This window comes from Homo sapiens, chromosome 16 (assembly GCF_000001405.40).
Source record: "Homo sapiens chromosome 16, GRCh38.p14 Primary Assembly".
Taxonomy (NCBI): Eukaryota; Metazoa; Chordata; class Mammalia; order Primates; family Hominidae; genus Homo; species Homo sapiens.
Genome location: NC_000016.10, coordinates 14,596,333 through 14,614,870, shown reverse-complemented (window position 1 = coordinate 14,614,870; position 18,538 = coordinate 14,596,333). Strand labels below are relative to the sequence as shown.

The window sequence follows — 18,538 nt, the reverse complement described above, 5'->3', positions numbered from 1 at the left end:
TTTTTTTTTTTTTTTTTTTTTTTTGAGACAGTTTCGCTCTTCTTTCCCATGCTGGAGTGCAATGGTGCGATCTCAGCTCACCACCACCTCTGCCTCCTGGGTTCAAGTGATTCTCCTGCCTCACCCTCCCAAGTAGCTGGGATTACAGGCATGTGCCACCACACCCAGCTAATTTTGTATTTTTAGTAGAGACAGTTTCTCCATGTCGGCCAGGCTGGTCTCCAACTCCCGACCTCAGATGGTCCACCTGCCTTGGCCTCCCAAAGAGCTGGGATTACAGGTGTGATCACCGTGCCTGGCCCCTGAATTTTCTTTTGTACGGGAGCCACCATTTTCAGGCTGTCACCAGCTCTGCTGCCCCTCTGTGCTGACTCCTGTAGGCACAGCGTGCATCTTAGCCTTGGCTTTGGTGTGTTATAATTCTCTCCACTCCTGCCCCTCTCTGGGTGACTTTAGTATCCTCAAGGATAACCAGCAAATGCTCTGGTCTGTTTCTTGACCAGGTGGTCAGCATCTTTCTATCTCTCTTTAGTCCTCTATACCAATGGCAGCGTCATGGGTCTTAGGGTCAAAAACTGCACCTCTCATTTACTCTTTTTTTTTTTTCCCATTTTTGAGACAAGATGTTGCTTTGTCACCAGGCTGGAGTGCACTGGCACATTCATGACTCACTGCAGCCTTGACCTCCTGGGCCCAAGTGATTCTCCCACCTCAGCCTTCCGTGTAGCTGGAACCATAGGTGCACACCATCATGTCCAGCTAATTTTTATGTTTTTTATAGAGGCAGGGTCTCACTATATTGTCCAGGCTGGTCTCAAACTCCTGGTATTCCTGCCGCCACCCCCTAAAGCTCTGGGATTATAGGAGTGACCTGTTACGCATGGTCTCATTTATTGTTTTTAGTGTTTTTAATGTTTCTTTTTTTGAGAGTACTACTCATGCTTCTGATTCACTTGCTCTGGTACCTATTTCAGCAATCTGTTGACTTCCATTGCTTTTTCACTATCTGTTGCCTTCCCGCTTCTCCTCTATGTGTATTCTTCTCCGTGTATCATACCAGGAGGCACGTGATGTCATTTGTCCCAATACTGGTGATGTTAACGTGGACCACTTTTTTTGCCAGTTAGTTTTAGCATCTATTGATAGTTCTTGCTTTAAGCAATTATCGTTGACTGATGGTGGTTTTCTACGTTCATTGTTCTTTCTACAAATTCCTTAGTGTCCCATGGCTTTGTTGTTATTGTTGTTTTGAGACTGTCTCACCCTGTCGTCCAGGCTGGAGTGCAGTGGCGTGATCTTGGCTCACTGCAACCTCTACCTCCCAGATTCACGTGATTATCCCACCTCAGCCTCCTGAGTACCTGGGACTATAGGCGCGTGGCACCACGCGTGGCAAATTTTTGTACTTTTTGGTAGAGAGAGGGTTTTACCATATTGGACAGGCTGGTCTTAAACTCTTGATCTTAAGTGATGCGCCCTCCTCAGCCTCCCAAAGTGCTGGGATTATAGGCATGAGCCAGGCGCCCGGCCTCCCATGGTGTTTTGTTTTTTTTTTTTTTTTGAGATGGAGTTTCACCCTTGTTGCCCAGGCTGGAGTGGAATGGTGCAATCTTGACTCACCGCAACCTCTGCCTCCCAGGTTCAAGCGATTCTCCTGCCTCAGCCTCCAGAGTAGCTGGGATTACAGGCATGTGCCACCACGCCCGGCTAATTTTGTATTTTTAGTAGAGACAGGGTTTCTCCATGTTGGTCAGGCTGGTCTTGAACTCACGACCTCAGGTGATCTGCCCGCCTTGGCCTCCCAAAGTTCTGGGATTACAGGCGTGAGCCACCGCGCCCCGTCCCCATGGATTTTAATACCACCCGTGTCCCAATGATAACTAAATGTATATCTCAACACCTTTCTCTTGAGCTATAGGCTTGTAACTGCAGCTTTTAATTTGTGTATTCCCTTAGATGATTTAACATGTCCGTGGTAGGGCGCGGTGGCTCACGCCTGTAATCTCAGCACTTTTAGAGGCTGAGATGGGCAGATGACCTGAGGTCAGGAGTTCAAGATCAGCCTGGCCAACATGTTGAAACCTTGTCTCTACTAAAATACAAAAATTAGCTGGGTATGGTGGCGGGCGCCTGTAATCCCAGCAACTTGGGAGGCTGAGGCGGGAGAATTGCCTGAACCCGAGAGGTGGCGGTTGCAGTGAGCCGAGATCGTGCCATTGCACTCCAGCCTGGGTGACAGAGCAAGACTTCGTTCTAAAAAGAAAAAAAAGAAAAAAAAATAGTATGTCCAAAAGGTAGCTTTTGATTTTCACTCCTTGGACCCCGATACCTATTTTTCCCCTCATTGTCTTCACATCAGTTAGTGGCCCTACCATCTTCCCAATCGCTTGAACCAAATAGCAAGGTGTTTTTTTTATTTTTATTTTTATTTTTTTTTGAGACAGTGTCACACCGTCGCCAGGCTGAAGTGCGGTGGCACGATCTCGGCTCACTGTAACCTCTGCCTCCTGTGTTCAAGTGATTCTCCTGCCTTAGCCTCCCAAGTAGCTGGGACTACAGGCACACACCACCATGCCCAGCTAATTTTTGTATTTTTAGTAGAGACGGGGTTTCACCATGTTGGCCAGGCTGGTCTCCATCTTTTGAACTTGTGATCCGCCCGCCTCGGCCTCTCAAAGTGGTTGGATTATAGGCGTGAGCCACCATGCCCGGCCGCAAGGTGTTACTCTTGATTTTGCCTTTCCCTTTATCCTTCATCTCCAGGATATCAGTAAGTGTTACGTCTTATGTCTAGAAAATCACTGTCTCCTTCTACCCTGCCATCTCTACACCAGGGTTACAAACAAGAGCCCACTGCTGGCTCCTTGTTTTGTAAATAAGATTTGTTGGACTACAGCTATGCCCGTACATGTACATTTTGTGTATGGCTGCTTTTGTGCCACAACAGCAGGGTTGAGTATTGCGACAGAGACCCCCATTGCCCACAAGCCTAAAACATTTGCCATCGAGCCCTTTAAGAAAGAGTTTGCTGGCCGTGCGCGGTGGCCGTGGCTCCCGCCTGTAATCCCAGCACTTTGGAAGGCTGAGGCAGGCGGTGAGGTCTGGAGTTCGAAACCAGCCTGGCCAACATAGCGAAACCCTGTCTCTACCGAAAATACAAAAATTAGCCTGGTGTGATGGTGCACGCTTGTAATTCCAGCTACTCGGGAGGCTGAGACAGAAGAATTGCTTGAACCTGGGAGGCAGAGGTTGCAGTGAGCTCATATTGTGCCATTGCATGCCAGCCTGGGTGACAGAGTAAGACTGTCTCACAACAAAACAAAACAAAGAAAAAGTTTGCTGACCTCTGATCTGAGCTCTTGTCTCTTGCCTGGACAATTGCTCCTGACTTGTTTCCTAACTTCACTCTCAGAGTAGTCATCATGGCCTTTGAAACATTATGCAGGTAAGGTAATTATCTTGCTTAAAATCTTCTAATGTTGTCCAGCCACTGTTAGAATAATGTACATTTCTTACACTGGCCTGTGAGGGCCTGCAGAATCTTGCTCCATACTCTCTCCAATGTGATGCTGTACCATTCCATTTTTGCTCATGACATCTGGCCACACCAGCTCCTTGCTGCTCCTGGAACCGTCCAAGCCATTTCCATGTTCTGGGTATTAATACTTGTTTCCCCTACCCGAAGGACTCTTCCCCTAGCTCCTTTCGTATCCGACTTATTCTCATCCTTTGGGTTTTCCCTGACTTTCCTGATTTTCTTGTCAGAAGTAGTTCCCTTCACTACAGAGCAGGATGCATCAGCTTGTCACTGTTCATTCCCCAGTGCCTAATATAATGCTTTGGCACAGCATAAGTGCCAGATAAATATTTCTTGAAAGAAGACTGAATGAATGGATGAATGATAAACACATTTCAAAATCATTTGCCTTTCTGTTCATTTTTTGAGATGTAGTTAAATATGGTAAATCTTTCCTGAGTAATTTAGACTCTTTGGTTTGTTAAACAAATTTTATGTTAGACAGTTACTTCTGCTAATGCATTCTTTTTAAAATCGTGTTTAGGAATTCCATATTTAAATCAGGAAGAAGAAAGACAGTTAAGAGAGCAGTATGATGAAAAACGTTCACAGGCGAATGGTGCAGGAGCTCTGTCCTATGTATCTCCTAACACTTCAAAATGTCCTGTCACGATTCCTGAGGATCAAAAGAAGTTTATTGACCAAGTGGTGTAAGTTCCTAAATTAAAACTAAGCGTGCATTGTGTGCTATATATTGGGGATGACAGGCATCTATATCTCAAACCTGTGCTTTACAAACATAGTACACACACGGGTGTGATGTTGTGAATGGCAGGATATAATTGTGGCATATTAAAAAAAAAATTTTTTTTTTTTTTTTTTTGAGACAGTCTTGCTCTTTTGCCCAGGCTGGAGTGCATTGGTGCAATCCTGGCTTACTGCAACCTCTGCCTCCTAGGTTCAAGCAATTCTTGTGCCTCAGCCTCCAGAGTAGCTGGGATTATAGGCGTGCACCACCACACCCGCCTAATTTTTATATTTTTAGTAGAGACGAGGTTTTGCCATGTTGGCCACGCTGGTCTCGAACTCCTGGCCTCAAGTGATCTGCCCGCCTCAGCCTCTCAAAGTGTTGAGATTACAGGCATGAGCCAGCATGCCTAGCCGGCATATTCAAATTAGTGTAACAGCAACAAATTGTAAATAGAGTTCCATGTATTGTACTTGGACTTGCTACATGTCACTAGGCAAGAGATTTCAGTACGTGGTCAGACCTGCGTGGATTTTTTATTTTATTTTATTTTTTTTAATAGAGACGGATCTCACTATGTTTCCCAGGCTGGTGTCAAACTCCTGAGCTCAAGGGATCTTCCTGCCTCAGCCTCCCAGAGCGCTGGGATTACAGGCGTGAGCCATTGTCCAGCCCCTTTTCTTGTTTTTTAAATGCTAATCAGCTGACTTCTAAAACTTGCATGGACTGAATACCTGACAGCCACTGTCCAATGTCCTTGAAGGCAGAGGAGTGGATCAGGCTTATCCAGCCTGTAGCATGTCCATGTTCTCTTTGCTTGCAGTAAAGGTGCCGACAAGCAGATGTGATTTTGGACAAGTGTCTGGTCTTGCTCAGCTTAGTTGTTGGTGTAACCATTTTACTGGGAAAGTCAAAAATTAAATCACTTGTATTGACGAGTCCTTGAGAAGTTGTCACTAATAAATAGCAGCAGTAACCCTCTTCCCCCCAAAATACGCCAAATAAAGCTTTTTTATTTTATGTTATTTATTTTTTGAGACAGGGTCTCGTTCTGTTGCCAAGGCTGGAGTGCAGTGATGCGATCACAGCTCACTGCAGCCTCAACTTCCTGGGCTCAGGTGATCCTCCCACCTCCGCTTCTGGAGTAGCTGGGACCACAGTTACACTGCACCACTCCCAGCTAATTTTTAAGATTTATTTTTTGTAGTGAGGGGCTCTCAGTATATTGCCCAGGCTGGTCGCGAACTCCTGGGCTCAAGTGATCCACCCAACGTCGACCTCCCAAAGTGCTGGGATTCTATGCCTAGGTCAAAATAAAGCATTTTTAAAAAAGTCTTTGAACTAAAATTTCTAGGGTAATTTGGTAGAATTACATTGTCACATGTTCTTATAGTTAGACTGTTTTTGGTTGTGATTATTTTCTTGGTTGATGACTTCATTCCTTAAAGGTACTGATGGTTATGGTCTATTCTTATTCCTCAGAGAGAAAATAGAGGATTTATTACAAAGTGAAGAAAACAAGAACTTGGATTTAGAGCCATGTACCGGGTTAGTTGTCCTGAACATTTCTGCATGTCCTTTTTTTGGAAAGGTAGATGGTTTGTGGCATTTGATGCATCTAGTCTTTTAAAAACAGCTTTATAAAGGGTCTTTTTATTATTGCTATGTTCTCAAGAATTAAACACTAACTTTAGCGTTACACAGTGGGGATGACTGTGTATACTGAGACACTGAATGAATGCTTTGTCCTGTACTTGGAGCGGAGAAAACTGTTGTGCAACCTTGACTTTCAGTTATGCCCAAGAGTGGCATAATTAATTTGGCCTTGAGGCGCGCTTAATACGTGAAGGCTTCAGAAGAAAGAATTCACTTTCAGGCTACTTCCACCCTTTTAATTTCTCTCTGTATTCAGAGAACATTAGCATTTCAAAGAGTCAGTAACGTGATTGTCTTTTTTTCCTTTTACTTTGTGAGGAGTTTCACAAAAGTATTTCAATGCATCTGTCTACTTTAAGCTCTCTTTATGCAGCTGCAGGAAGCAATATTTTGATTAGACGAGAACTTCTACCTCTTCAGTAAAAGCAGCATAATATTAAAGAAAATTTTAGAAGACAAGTGATGAGGAAATCCCCCCACCTCAAAAAACCTGCGTATTTTTGTTTGCAAATTACCTATCAGTTCTAATGAAGTCTCTTTTTAAAGCGAAATCCTTCTCAACAAATGCTTGATCAGTTTGGATTTACTTCTAATGAGCCAAAATCAATACCTTTTCTTTTGTTTTTATAGGTTCCAAAGAAAACTAATTTATCAGACTTTGAGCTGGAAGTAAGTATTTATATTGTATGCAGCAGCTCTGTGGGGGACCCAGGATTTAAAGACTAAATATAATCTCTTAGTTCTCATTTCCTTTTTGAAATTCTGCGGTTCTCAGTGATTTGACTACATGAAGTTCCCCCTACTTTCTTAAGTTGAATACTCACTTAATTTTCTTTTGTTATTGTTTTTTAACAGATGCTTTAAGGCTTCTTAAAATAATTATCACTTTGGTGCATCTGTTAAGCTATGGATTGGTAGTGTTTTTGTCCTTTGGGGTATACAATAAATATTTGGTTTTCAGACCTAGGAAATACTCAGATGAATGCTTTTGGTAAAGCAAGAGTTCTTAACTTAGGGTGAGACTATGGATGGGTTTCAGGAGGTCTGTGAATCCCCTGAAATAACATCCAGACTTTTGTGTGTGTATTTTTCCAAGGATGTTTCCCTTGGTTTCCTTGTGTTTGCAGGTGGGTCTTCAACTCAGAAATTGAACATTGACATAGACAGGTGGACATTTCCATTTGACTTTGGGGACCTTGTTCTTCTGTTGGAATCTACCAGTGACATGTATACTGGGAATATACTTTGAACACAACAGGAAAGGGCTGTTTAGTTTGCCCACACTCCTTTCCTGTCATGTCGTCCTTGCAGCCTACTCCACCTGCATTCCAGATCCCTCTCCTCCTTGGCTGATGCAAGCTGTTAATACCATGCAAAACTACAGCAGAGCTGGCCATCTAAAACCTCCTCTTTATATGCCCTGTGCAATCTAAAAAGACTCAGGCCGGGCGCGGTGGCTCACTCCTGTAATCCTGGTACTTTGGGAGGCCGAGGTGGGCAGATCACCTGAGGTCAGGAGTTCAAGACCAGCCTGGCCAACATGGTGAAACCCCGTCTCTACTACAAATACAAAATTTAGCCGGACATGGTGGCACATGCCTGTAATCCCAGCTACTTGGGAGGCAAAGGCAGGAGCATCTCTTGAACCCTGGAGGCAGAGGTGCAGTGAGCCAAGATTGCGGCTTGGCACTCCAGCCTGAGTGGCAGAGTGAGACTCCATCTCAAAAAAATAAATAAATAAATAAAATAAAAAGACTTTCACAATTTCAGTTAGGAAACATTTTTATATTTGGAAGCAAGATTTGACTCTGTGGTAATGAGTTGACTGTATTTTGAGATGTAGGACATTTTAGAAAGTGCCTAAGTCCTGGTCAGGCGCAGTGGCTCACACCTGTAATCCCAATACTTTGGGAGGCCCAGGCGGGAGGATCACGAGGTCAGGACATCGAGACCATCCTGGCTAACACGGTGAAACCCCGTTTCTACTAAAAATACAAAAAATTAGCTGGGTGTGGTGGCAGGTGCCTATAGTCCCAGCTACTTGGGAAGCTGAGGCAGGAGAATGGCGTGAACCAGGGAGGTGGAGCTTGCAGTGAGCCGAGATCGCGCCACTGCCCTCCAGCCTGGGCGACAGAGAGAGACTCTTGTCTCAAAAAAAAAAAAAAAAATAGAAAATACCTAAGTCCTAAAAAAAATTAATTTGAAGTCAAATCCACGTTTATGTGTTTAAGAGCAAGGGTAAGGAAACATTTAGCAGCTGAAACGTTATAAAATAAATGTGCTGTAAAGTCTCCATTGTAGTGATAATTATTTTGTAGTTAATAAAACTTACTTAATTAGTAGCTGGATAGTTGCTTATAAAATACTTTGGGATTTAGCTGTCATTGACTCATCTACTGATACTATGTTTTTCTTTTCTTTAGGTATCCGAAAGGCATTCATGTTGAGACTTTAGAAACTGAAAAGGTAACCCCAAGAATTATCTAGGGCTAACATTAAACACATCCATTGTTACACTGTTAGGGGTTTCTTTTTTTTTTCTTTTTTTTTTTCCCTCAGGGTCTTTCTCTGATTACCCAGGCTGGAGTGCAGTGGTTAGTCACGGCTCACTGCAGCCTTGACTTCCTGGGCTCAGGTGATCCTCCTACATCAGCCTCCCAAGCTGGGACTACAGGCTCGTGCCACCATGCTTGGCTAATTTTTTATATTTTTAGTAGAGACAGGGTTTCGCCCTGTTGCCCAGGCTAGTCTTGAACTCCTGGGCTCAAACAATTTGCCCGCCTCGGCCTCGCAGAGTGCTGGATTACAGGCCTGAGCTACCATGCTCAATCCTTAGTGTGCTGAAAGTCAGAATTTGTATCTTGTCTGTGCTTGTTATGAGCTAGGTAACCTAGGGTAAGTCATTTGATCTCTTTAAGCCTAATTTTCTTCTGTACATTGGGACTGAGCATGATAACGGTGATCTATACTTTCTCATAGCCTTTTTATGGTGATACCGTGGGTAAGTGGAAGTGATGCCTTGTAAACTTGAAAGTATACAAATATTAGTTTGTATTCTTACTATGGCAGAAAGCTATAATGGTACATGTGAAGAAATGGCTTCATGTTGCGTGGGCAGACAAAATTAAATTTTAGAATTTGGGTCGTAAGCACAGCTATTGTCCTGAGTACACAGGGTACACTGATAGAATTGTGATGGGAAGTGGGTGGCTAGTGGTGGGTTCCTTCTGCAGTTTTTCAATTTTATAATTTGTTGTTGCTGTTAAGTCAGGTATAAAATTAGAGATTAAATAAAGTAGAAAAATAATCTTGGTAGATAATTTATCTTTAGTGGACACAAAATATATGAGAAAGAAAGTACTAGTTATCTGACACTTTGGCAGAAAATCCAGAGTTTTTTCTTATGGTAATACAACATATATATGTAAGTTTTGTTAATGTTAATACAACATATACATTTTACTTTAAAACTCTTCAGAAGTCAATGTTCAAATGCAATATAACTTTTTTAGTATTTGTCATAGGAAATGTCTTATTCTCACAGTCTGTTGATATTTTTAACTGATGTCTGTTGGGTTGAATTAGTAAACCGTAGGAAAATGTCATGGAAACACAGAGACAAAATTTGGTTTGTAATGCATTAGCTCAACTTATGTTGGCATTTCAAAGTATTTTCTGTTGTATTTGGCTCATGAAAGACTACAGTGGCTGGGCATGGTGGCTCAGGCCTGTAATCCCAGCACTTTGGGAGGCTGAGATGAGCAGGTCATTTGAGCCCAGGAGTTTGAGACCAGCCTGGACAACATGGTGAAACTCCGTCTCTACTAAAAATATAAAAAGAAATTAGCCAGGCATAGTGGTACATGCCTGTAGTCCCAGCTACTCAGGAGGCTGAGGTGAGAGGATCATCTGAACCCAGAAATTTGAGGCTGCAGTGAGCTGTGATCATGCCACTGCACTCCAGCCTGAGCAATGGGAGTGATAACCTGTCACACATACAAAAAAAGTGTGCGGTTACAAAAATTACAACTTCTGGCTGGGTGTGGTGGCTCATGCCTGTAATCCCAGCACTTTGGGATGCCAAGGTGGGCAGATCACTTGAGGTCAGGAGTTTGAGACCAGCCTGGGCAACATGGTGAAACCCTGTCTCTACTACAAATACAAAAATTAGCTGGGCGTATTGGTGCGCACCTGTAATCTTGGCTACTCTGGAGGCTGAGGCAGGAGAATCACTTGAATCTGGGAGGCAGAGTTTGCAGTGAGCTGAGGTTGTGCCACTGCACTCCAGCTTGGGTGACAGAGTGAGACTGTCTCAAAAAAAAAATTCTAATGGCAGCAGAAATCTGAATTTTTTGGATTAAGTTGTCTCTAGAAAATTGTATATATCTGTGGCCAGGACCGTGGCTCACACCTGTAATCCCAGCACTTTGGGAGACTGAGGCGGGTGGATCACCTGAGGTGGGGAGTTTGAGACCAGCCTGACCAACATGGAGAAACTCCGTCTCTACTAAAAATACAAAAATTAGCCGGGTGTGGTGGCACAAGCCTGTAATCCCAGCTACTCGGGAGGCTAAGGTAAGATAATCGCTTGAACCCAGGAGGCGGAGTTTGCAGTGAGCTGAGATCATGCAATTGCACTCCAGCCTGAGCAACAAGAGCGAAACTCTGTCTCAAAAAAAAAGAAAAAGAAAAGAAAATTGTATATCTGCTTTATGTCTTTTAGAAGGAGCGATATATAGTTATCAGCAAAGTAGATGAAGAAGAACGCAAAAGAAGAGAGCAGCAGAAACATGCCAAAGAACAGGTAATTGGGCTATGTTAATTCTTGGGGGGTGAGAAATGGCAACATAAATATTGATTTATTCCTGTCTATTTCAGATCATATGTTGGATTCAATTTAATGAATAGTTTTCTTTCATAGAACAATGGAATTGGCAGAAAAACCTGGACTAGAATAAGGGGAAGTTAGATTTAAGCATGAGACGTAGCTAGCAAAGTGAGTCTGACGTCACTGATGACCAGTGTCTACTTAAACCAGTCCTGAAGAAAGTACTCTTGATTCTCATTTAGCTTGTGTCACTGAGTGTCACTATCCTTTAATACTGCAACGTCTAACTTCATGTATAGTTACTAGTTTTCCTTAAACCAAGTTCAGAGCACATGATCTGACAGATGAGGATGACATGCTTAGGTTGTACTGTTGGAACATCACCCTGCTTGCTGTGTGAAGAATGGTTTCGAGTGAGTAAGACTGGAGGCAGGAGACTAGTTAAGCTGTGGAGTAACCTAGCTAGGAGATGTTGGTGACCTGGCGTAGGATAGTGAGTAGCAGTGTAGATGGAATCTGGAGATACTTGGAAGGTAGAATCCATGGAATTTATGACTGAATGTGGGTGGTGGAGGAGGAAGGGGGAAGGAGGAAGATGCTCATGCCAGACATTTGCACAACGGGGTAGACTGCACTCCATTCACTTGGAGGGGTTGGCTGGAGTGACATCGGTTGGGGGAAAAGGTGGAGGAGAGAGGAGTGGGTTTGCATGTGGATGAATGTCATGCTCATATGTACATTAGGCAGGGTCACTCCTAATTGACTTAACCACAATGACCCACTTTGGGAGACAGCATATTACCTACACAGGGAAAGATTAGCAAGAGGTGCTGCCTGTGGTCCCTGTCCCACATACTAAAAAGGACAACGCAGAAACAAAAGGTGCCAGTTAGAGGCCAGGTGTGATGGCTCATGACTGTAATCGCAGCACTACTTTAGGAGGCTGAGGTGGGAGGATCACTTTGAGCTCAGTAGTTTGAGACCAGTCTGAGCAACATAGCGAAACCCCATCTCTACAAAAAATACAAAAAAAATTATCCAGGTGTGGTGACGTGCGCCTGTAGTCCTAGCTACTTGGGAGGCTGATGCTGGAGAATTGCTTGACCCCGGGAGGTGGAGGTTGCAGTTGCAGTGAGTTGAGATTATGCCACTGTACTCTAGCTTGGGTGACAGAGTGAGACCTTGTCTTAAAAAAAAAAGATACGAGATGATTGCAGCATGTGTTTTGTGATGTGGCTTCACTGAGGATGAGTTCTAGGCTGCAGCTCAGGGCTTTGATACTCTGCAGCTCTCTTCTGAGAGGGCGAGGCAGAGAGCCCCACACCTCCTCAGAACCCAGGAGGCAATGAGGAACTGTTTCATGACAGCCTCCCAGGAGTGACAGGGAAGGGGGTGGGAGCTGGCCTCATAGCAGCTCCTTAGAAGCCTCTGCCTCCCACCCTTCCCTCCTGATGTGTTGTGCCAAGACGCAGATGAGTCTGTGGCCAAGACGCAGATTAGCCTTTACCTGCATGGCCCGTTTTGATACATGCAAGGCCACCAGGGCACCATGGCATCCCCTAGAGTGGAAAAAGATGTTCCCCCAGAGTGGAAAAAGATGTTCCATTCTGGTTTTGACCTGATGAGGTTTCGAGTGTTTTTAGGACATGCAAGGGTGGATGTCCTCTTAGCAGGTTTGTCAGTGTTGAGCACAGGAGAGGGGTGAGGGCTAGGCATGATTGTCATTGGCAGAGAGACTGGGACTGGATCAGAGCAACTGCAGAGTACGTGAGGAATGAGAAGAGGACCTGGGGCTGAATCCTGAGGATCAACAGCATTTAAATGATAGGCAGAAGTCGACAAAATGTACCGGGAGATTATTGTGGTACACAGCCAAGGGAGGAGAGAAAAAGGGGCAGTCAGCAATGTCAGCTCCCATGTAGGGGTTAGTATTGAGACATGGCTGTTGGATTCAGCCCTGGCAGTAGTTTTTTAAACTATAATTAAAGCAATTTTTCCCTATCTCTACTAAAAGTGCAAAAAAATTAGCCGGGCGCAGTGGCATGTGCCTGCATTCCCAGCTACTCGGGAGGCTGAGGCAGGAGAATCGCTTGAACCCGGGAGGCGGAGGTTGCAGTGAGCCGAGATCACGCCACTGCACTCCAGCCTGGACAACAGAGTGAGACTCTGTCTCAAAAACAAAAAACAAAACCAAAAAAGCAATTTTTGTTTTTGTTTGAAATGGAGCCTTGCTTGCAGTGACATGATCTCGGCTCACTGCAACCTCCGCCTCCCGGGTTCAAGCGATTCTCCTGCCTCAGCCTCCCGAGTAGCTGGGATTACAGGTGCATGCCACTGCGTCCGGCTAATTTTTGTATTTTTAGTAGAGACGGGGTTTCGCCATGTTGGCCAGGCAGGTCTTGAACTCTTGACCTCAGGTGATCTGCCTGCCTCAGCCTGCCAAAGTGCTGGGATTACCAGCGTGAGCTACCATGCCTGACCCCCCCAAAAAAATTTTAATTGTGGTAAAATACACATAACAAAATTTATCATCTTAACTATTAAATGTATAGTTCAGTGACATCAAGTAGTTTAACATTGCTGTGCAATCATCACCACCATCCATCTCCAGAATTCTCTTCATCTTGCAAAACCGAAACTGTACTAATCAAGCAGCTCTCCATCTCCCACCCCTGACACCCAGCCCCTGGCAACCACTATTCTACTTACTGTCATATGAATTTGGTCACTCTGAGTACCTCATATAAGTACAGTATTTGTCCTCCTGTGACTGGCTTATTTCTCTTAGCATAGCAGCCTCAAGGTTCCCCATGTTATAGCATGTGTCAGAATTTCCTTCCTTTTTAAAGGCTGAATAATATTCCATTGTGTGGCTAGACCACATTTTGTTTATCCATTTGTTTGTGGACACCTGGGTTGCTTTTGACTATTGTGAATAATGCTCTTGTGAATTTAGGTATGCATATACCTATTTGAGTCCCTGCTTTCAATTCTTTGGGGTATATACCCAGAAATGGAATTGCTGGGTAATATGGGAATTCTTTTTGGGATGAGCCTCCATACTGTTTTCCTTAGCTGCTGCACTGTTTAACATTTTCATCAACGGCACACAGGTTCCAGTTTCTCTACATCCTTGCAAATACTTGTTAGTCTTGGGGTTAGTTTTTTGTTTGTTTGTTTGTTTTTTGAGATGGAGTTTCGCTCTTGTTGCCCAGGCTGGAGTGCAATGGTGCGATCTTGGCTTACAGCATGCAACCTCCGTCTCCCGGGTTCAAGCGATTCTCCTGCCTCAGCCTCTGGAATAGCTGGGATTACAGGCATGCACCACCACGTCCGGATAATTTTTTATTTTTAGTAGAGACAGGGTTTCACCATGTTGGTCAGGCTGGTCTCGAACTCCCGACCTCAAGTGATCCATCTGCCTCTGCCTCCCAAAGTGCTCGGATTACAGGCGTGAGCCACTTCACCCAGCCAGTGTTGGGGTTAGTTTTAAGGAGGTGAGCAATTTCAGTGAGCATGAAGCCAGAGGGCTGGGAACACCTGGGAGTTAAACTGGAGAAAGCAAGTTAGCTTTGATGAGACAAGTAGAAGGGGCAGTAGTCTGAGAGATCTTAGAGGAGGGGAGGGTTTTCAAGATAAGAGAGACACTGAGCCTCTTTCAACACTGCTGGAAAGAATATAGGAGAGAAGAAGGTGGGTGGGAGAATTTTGTAAAAATGTATTTTTCGAGGAAAAAAAATCAGGAATTATGAAAATACTTGATTTGATCAGTTAACTGCCAGATGGGTTTCCTCAGAATTGAATGTGTTACTGAGTTTAGCCTGCAGGTGGCAACTTTTTAAGTTACTGTTTTTAAGACACCTTGAAAGACTTGGAAATTTTAAAGAAGTCGGTGAAGTGATGGATAAACCCTAAGCATTGTTCTTTTAGTAACTAATGAATAATTTTCCATTTGTTCATTCTACTTTCTAAAATAGAAGAAAAGTATGTACGTAGATCATTTTAGATGCAAATGTTTGGGAAGATAGGCGCAAAGCACAGGAAACTAAAGCTATCTAACTTGATACAAAATTTCAGTGTCTTTTTTTTGGGGTAGTTTTTTAATTCACATAAGGAATATTTATACATCAATAATACATATGTATATATTTTTTTAATTAGGAGGAGCTGAATGATGCTGTGGGATTTTCTAGAGTCATTCACGCCATTGCTAATTCGGTAAGTGAGCCAGACTTTTTAGCAAGATTGCAGAACATACTATTTCAGGTGAAGTATCTAATTATCATTGCAGATTAATCATTTCATCTCCTTTAGAATGTTTACCTAGAACATTCTAAGAAGTTAGAACTTCATCAAGATAGACTGTTGTTATAATGCACTTGGTGAGGCATAATTGCTAAATTATATTCAAATCAATTTTCAGGGAGCCTTGCTTGAAAAATGCATAGGAGGGTTACACTATGTTGTCCTTATATGGCTACATGGAAACCAAGAGTTATTTTCAAAACCAGTAAGAAGTCGAAAAAGAAAGTAAGGAATAAGGGGAGAAACAATCAGATATTTGACTGAAGGTGTTTTGTTCCCTAAGTAGAAGAATCTAGAGGGTAAAAATAATGATGTCTTTGTTTAGTGCTACATAAGTGTAATTGAATCTTATTCTTAATAATATTTGATATGTTTTAAAAAGATATTGGCCATTTGTGTAAATGTGCTAGGGGACTCTATGATAGATATGATGGGTGTTTTTCCTTGCTTTGTGAGGCCTTTCTGAAAACAGGCGGCCGGGCATAGTGGCTCATGTCTGTAATCCCAGCACTTCGGGAGGCCGATAAGGATGGATTGCTTGAGCTCAGGAGTTCGAGACCAGCCTGGGAAATATGGGGAAACCCCATCTCTACCAAAAATACAAAAATTAGCCAGGTGTGGTGGTATATGCCTGTGGTTCCAGCTACTTGGGAGGCTGAGGTGGGAGGATCGCTGGAGCTCGGGAAGTCAAGGCTGCAGTGAGCTGTGATCACGCCATTGCACCCCAGCCTGGGTGACAGACAGACCCTGTCTCCAAAAAAAAAAAAAAAAAAAAAAAAGAAGAGGAGAAAGAAAACAGGCATCCGCATTTTACATAGGTAAACTAGGTCATGCTGCTGGTTGTTCTAGACAGCTTGCTTGGATGCTGAATTGCCTGTAGTCTAGGACATTCTCTTATTTGAGCAGTTGGCCTGGGAGAAGGAATCATCTTATACCTTAGATGCTGAACTTTGCATCAGGGAAGCTTTAAGGCCATAGAAACCCTCTCAAGGTTTCATGCTGTCTCACTGCCAGCTGCAGGCTTGTAAACACAGGGGCGCTGTAGGGAAGGCCCCTGCTGTCCTCATTCCGGGATAAACAGAGGTTTACAGAGCCTTGTAAAAGAAGAGGGTTGGCTCACGAGGACTTCTCTTGCTCAAGTAAGTGGGGCGATTAAAGTCGAATAGAAAGTTGGAAAGATCCGGAGAGAAACAATGCTGTGAGCCTCTTCAGCAGTGGCTGAGATTACAGGTATCCAGAAAAGCAGAGTTGAGTTTCTGGTTCCATTTGCTCATGTTGTGCACACCTAGCCAGCAGACTTCAGATAAGTGGTGGTTTTGATTGAGGCGGGCCCTAAAATTCAGAGATACGGAACATAAGTTGGTTTTGAGCTCTTTTGTAGCCGTCATGATAGTTCAGTCAGCTTTTCCAAGATTGGACATTTGTTTGTCTTATACACATTCGGATACCTTAGCTTGCTGTACCTGTTTTCTTTTCTCTGACATCTTTCTTCTACAGAATATTCATAACATGTTGCTGACCGTTGGTAGTCAACATCCCAAAGCATACTACCAAAAAGCCCTGTTTATTAGCGATCCGGACATTTAAAATTTTTGAGTCTTGAATGAAAGTTGACTAAAGTAAAATAAGATGCGTAAATCCCATACCTTAAATATATATATATATATATTTTTTGAGCCGGAGTCTCGCTCTGTTGTCCTGCTGGAGTGCAGTGGCGCAATCCTGGCTCACCACAACCTCCGCCTCTCGGGTTCAAGCAAGTCTCCTGCCTCAGCCTCCCAAGTAGCTGGGATTACAGGTGCCTGCTACCACGCCTGGCTAATTTCTGTATTTTTAGTTGAGACGGGCTTTCACCATGTTGGCCAGGCTGGCCTCGAACTCCTGACCTCAAGTAATCTGCCTTCTTCAGCCTCCCAAGATACTGGGTTTACAGGTGTGAGCCACCATGCCCGGCTGTATAACTTGGATACTTTTGAATGGTATTGATTGCTGTTTTGTCAGAAGTCCGCCAGTTGGAATTTGTCTCACATTTTCTCATGACTGATTTGAGGATATATGGTTTGGCAAGAATACCACAGAAATGATGGTTCATGATGTCGATCAATTTTTTTTTTTTTTTTGAGATGGAGTCTTGCTTTGTCGCCCACGCTGGAGCGCGGTGGCGCGATCTTGGCGTACTGCAAGCTCTGCCTCCTGGGTTCACGCCATTCTCCTGCCTCAGCCTCCTGAGTAGCTGGGACTACAGGCGCCTGCCACCACACCAGGCTAATTTTTTTGTATTTTTAGTAGAGACGGGGTTTCACCATGTTAGCCAGGATGGTCTCGGTCTCCTGACCTCGTGATCCGCCTGCCTTGGCCTCCCAAAATGCTGGGATTACAGGCGTGAGCCACCATTCTCTGCCCGTGATGTTGATCTTGATCGCTTGGTTAAGGTGGTGTTGGCTGGATTTGTGTTCTGTGAAATTAATTTTATAGTTAATAAGTTAACTATGTCATTAAATTATAGTTAAATTAACTATATAGTTTAACTTTATAGTTTATGAATATCTTGGGGGAGATACTTTGAGACCATGAAAATCCTGTTTTCCCTCAAACTTTGCCTACTAATATTATCGTCTATCAGCATATCTTGCCTGTAGCAGTTATTACTGTGGTATTCTAATGGCAAGTTTATATTTCCTTCGTCCTTTCTACATTTATTCTTGGAATTCTTCTATAAAGAAAAAAATGGGCTGGGCATGGTGGCTCACACCTGTAATCCCAGTACTTTGGGAGGCCAAGGGGGGCGGATCACTGGAGGTCGGGAGTTCGACACCAGCCTAACCAACATGGTGAAATACCATCTCTAATGAAAATACAAAAATTAGCTGAGCGTGGTGGCACACACCTGTAATCCCAGCTACTTGGGAGGCTGAGGCAGGAGAATCGCTTGAACCTAGGAGGCGGGGGTTGCAGTAACCTGAGATTGCACCATTGCACTGTAGCCTGGTGACAAAGTTGAGACCCTGTCTCGAAAAAAAAAAAAAAAGGAAAGAAAAAAATGTCCTTTTCCCCTGTTTATTTATGTATTTATTTAATTTTGAGACACAGTCTCTGTCTGTTCCCCAAGCTGGGAGTACACTGGCTCACTGCAGCCTCTACCTCCCGGGCTCAAGCGATCCTCCCTCCTCCTTAGCCTCCTGAGCAGCTGGGACTACAGGCATGCAGTACCACACGTGGATAATTTTATATATATATTTTTTTTGTGGAGAAGGGGTCTTCCTATGTTGTCCAGGCTGGTCTTGAACTCTTAGGCTCAAGCAGTCTCCCGCGCCTCAGCCTCCCAAAGTATTTGGATTATAGGCACGAGCCACCACACCCAGCCCTTTCCCTTGTTTATTTAATGGTTTTTATGTATATGTATGGACTCAGGGATTTTTTTTAATTATTAGTATTAATAATAATACTAGATTATTATCTAGGATTTTTACTGTTTACTTTGTTG

At 43.6% G+C, this 18,538-nt stretch overlaps 1 protein-coding gene and 1 pseudogene across 13 annotated transcripts in view; both read left to right on the top strand.

Moving 5' to 3' along the window:
* PARN (poly(A)-specific ribonuclease) overlaps nt 1-18,538 on the top strand; it is a 194,560-nt gene that overhangs the window by 15,390 nt on the left and 160,632 nt on the right. For all 13 annotated transcript variants that reach the window (XR_007064884.1, XR_007064883.1, XR_007064882.1 and 10 more), the window contains 6 exons: nt 4,062-4,227; nt 5,748-5,813; nt 6,552-6,590; nt 8,345-8,387; nt 10,645-10,725; nt 14,911-14,967. Coding sequence is in view for 9 of the 13 variants with exons in the window: in NM_001134477.3 (NP_001127949.1) it covers nt 4,062-4,227; nt 5,748-5,813; nt 6,552-6,590; nt 8,345-8,387; nt 10,645-10,725; nt 14,911-14,967 (452 nt within the window). In the remaining 4 variants the exon portion in view is untranslated. The remainder of the gene's footprint in view (nt 1-4,061; nt 4,228-5,747; nt 5,814-6,551; nt 6,591-8,344; nt 8,388-10,644; nt 10,726-14,910; nt 14,968-18,538) is intronic.
* Nucleotides 12,777-13,048, top strand: RN7SL274P (RNA, 7SL, cytoplasmic 274, pseudogene; annotated as a pseudogene).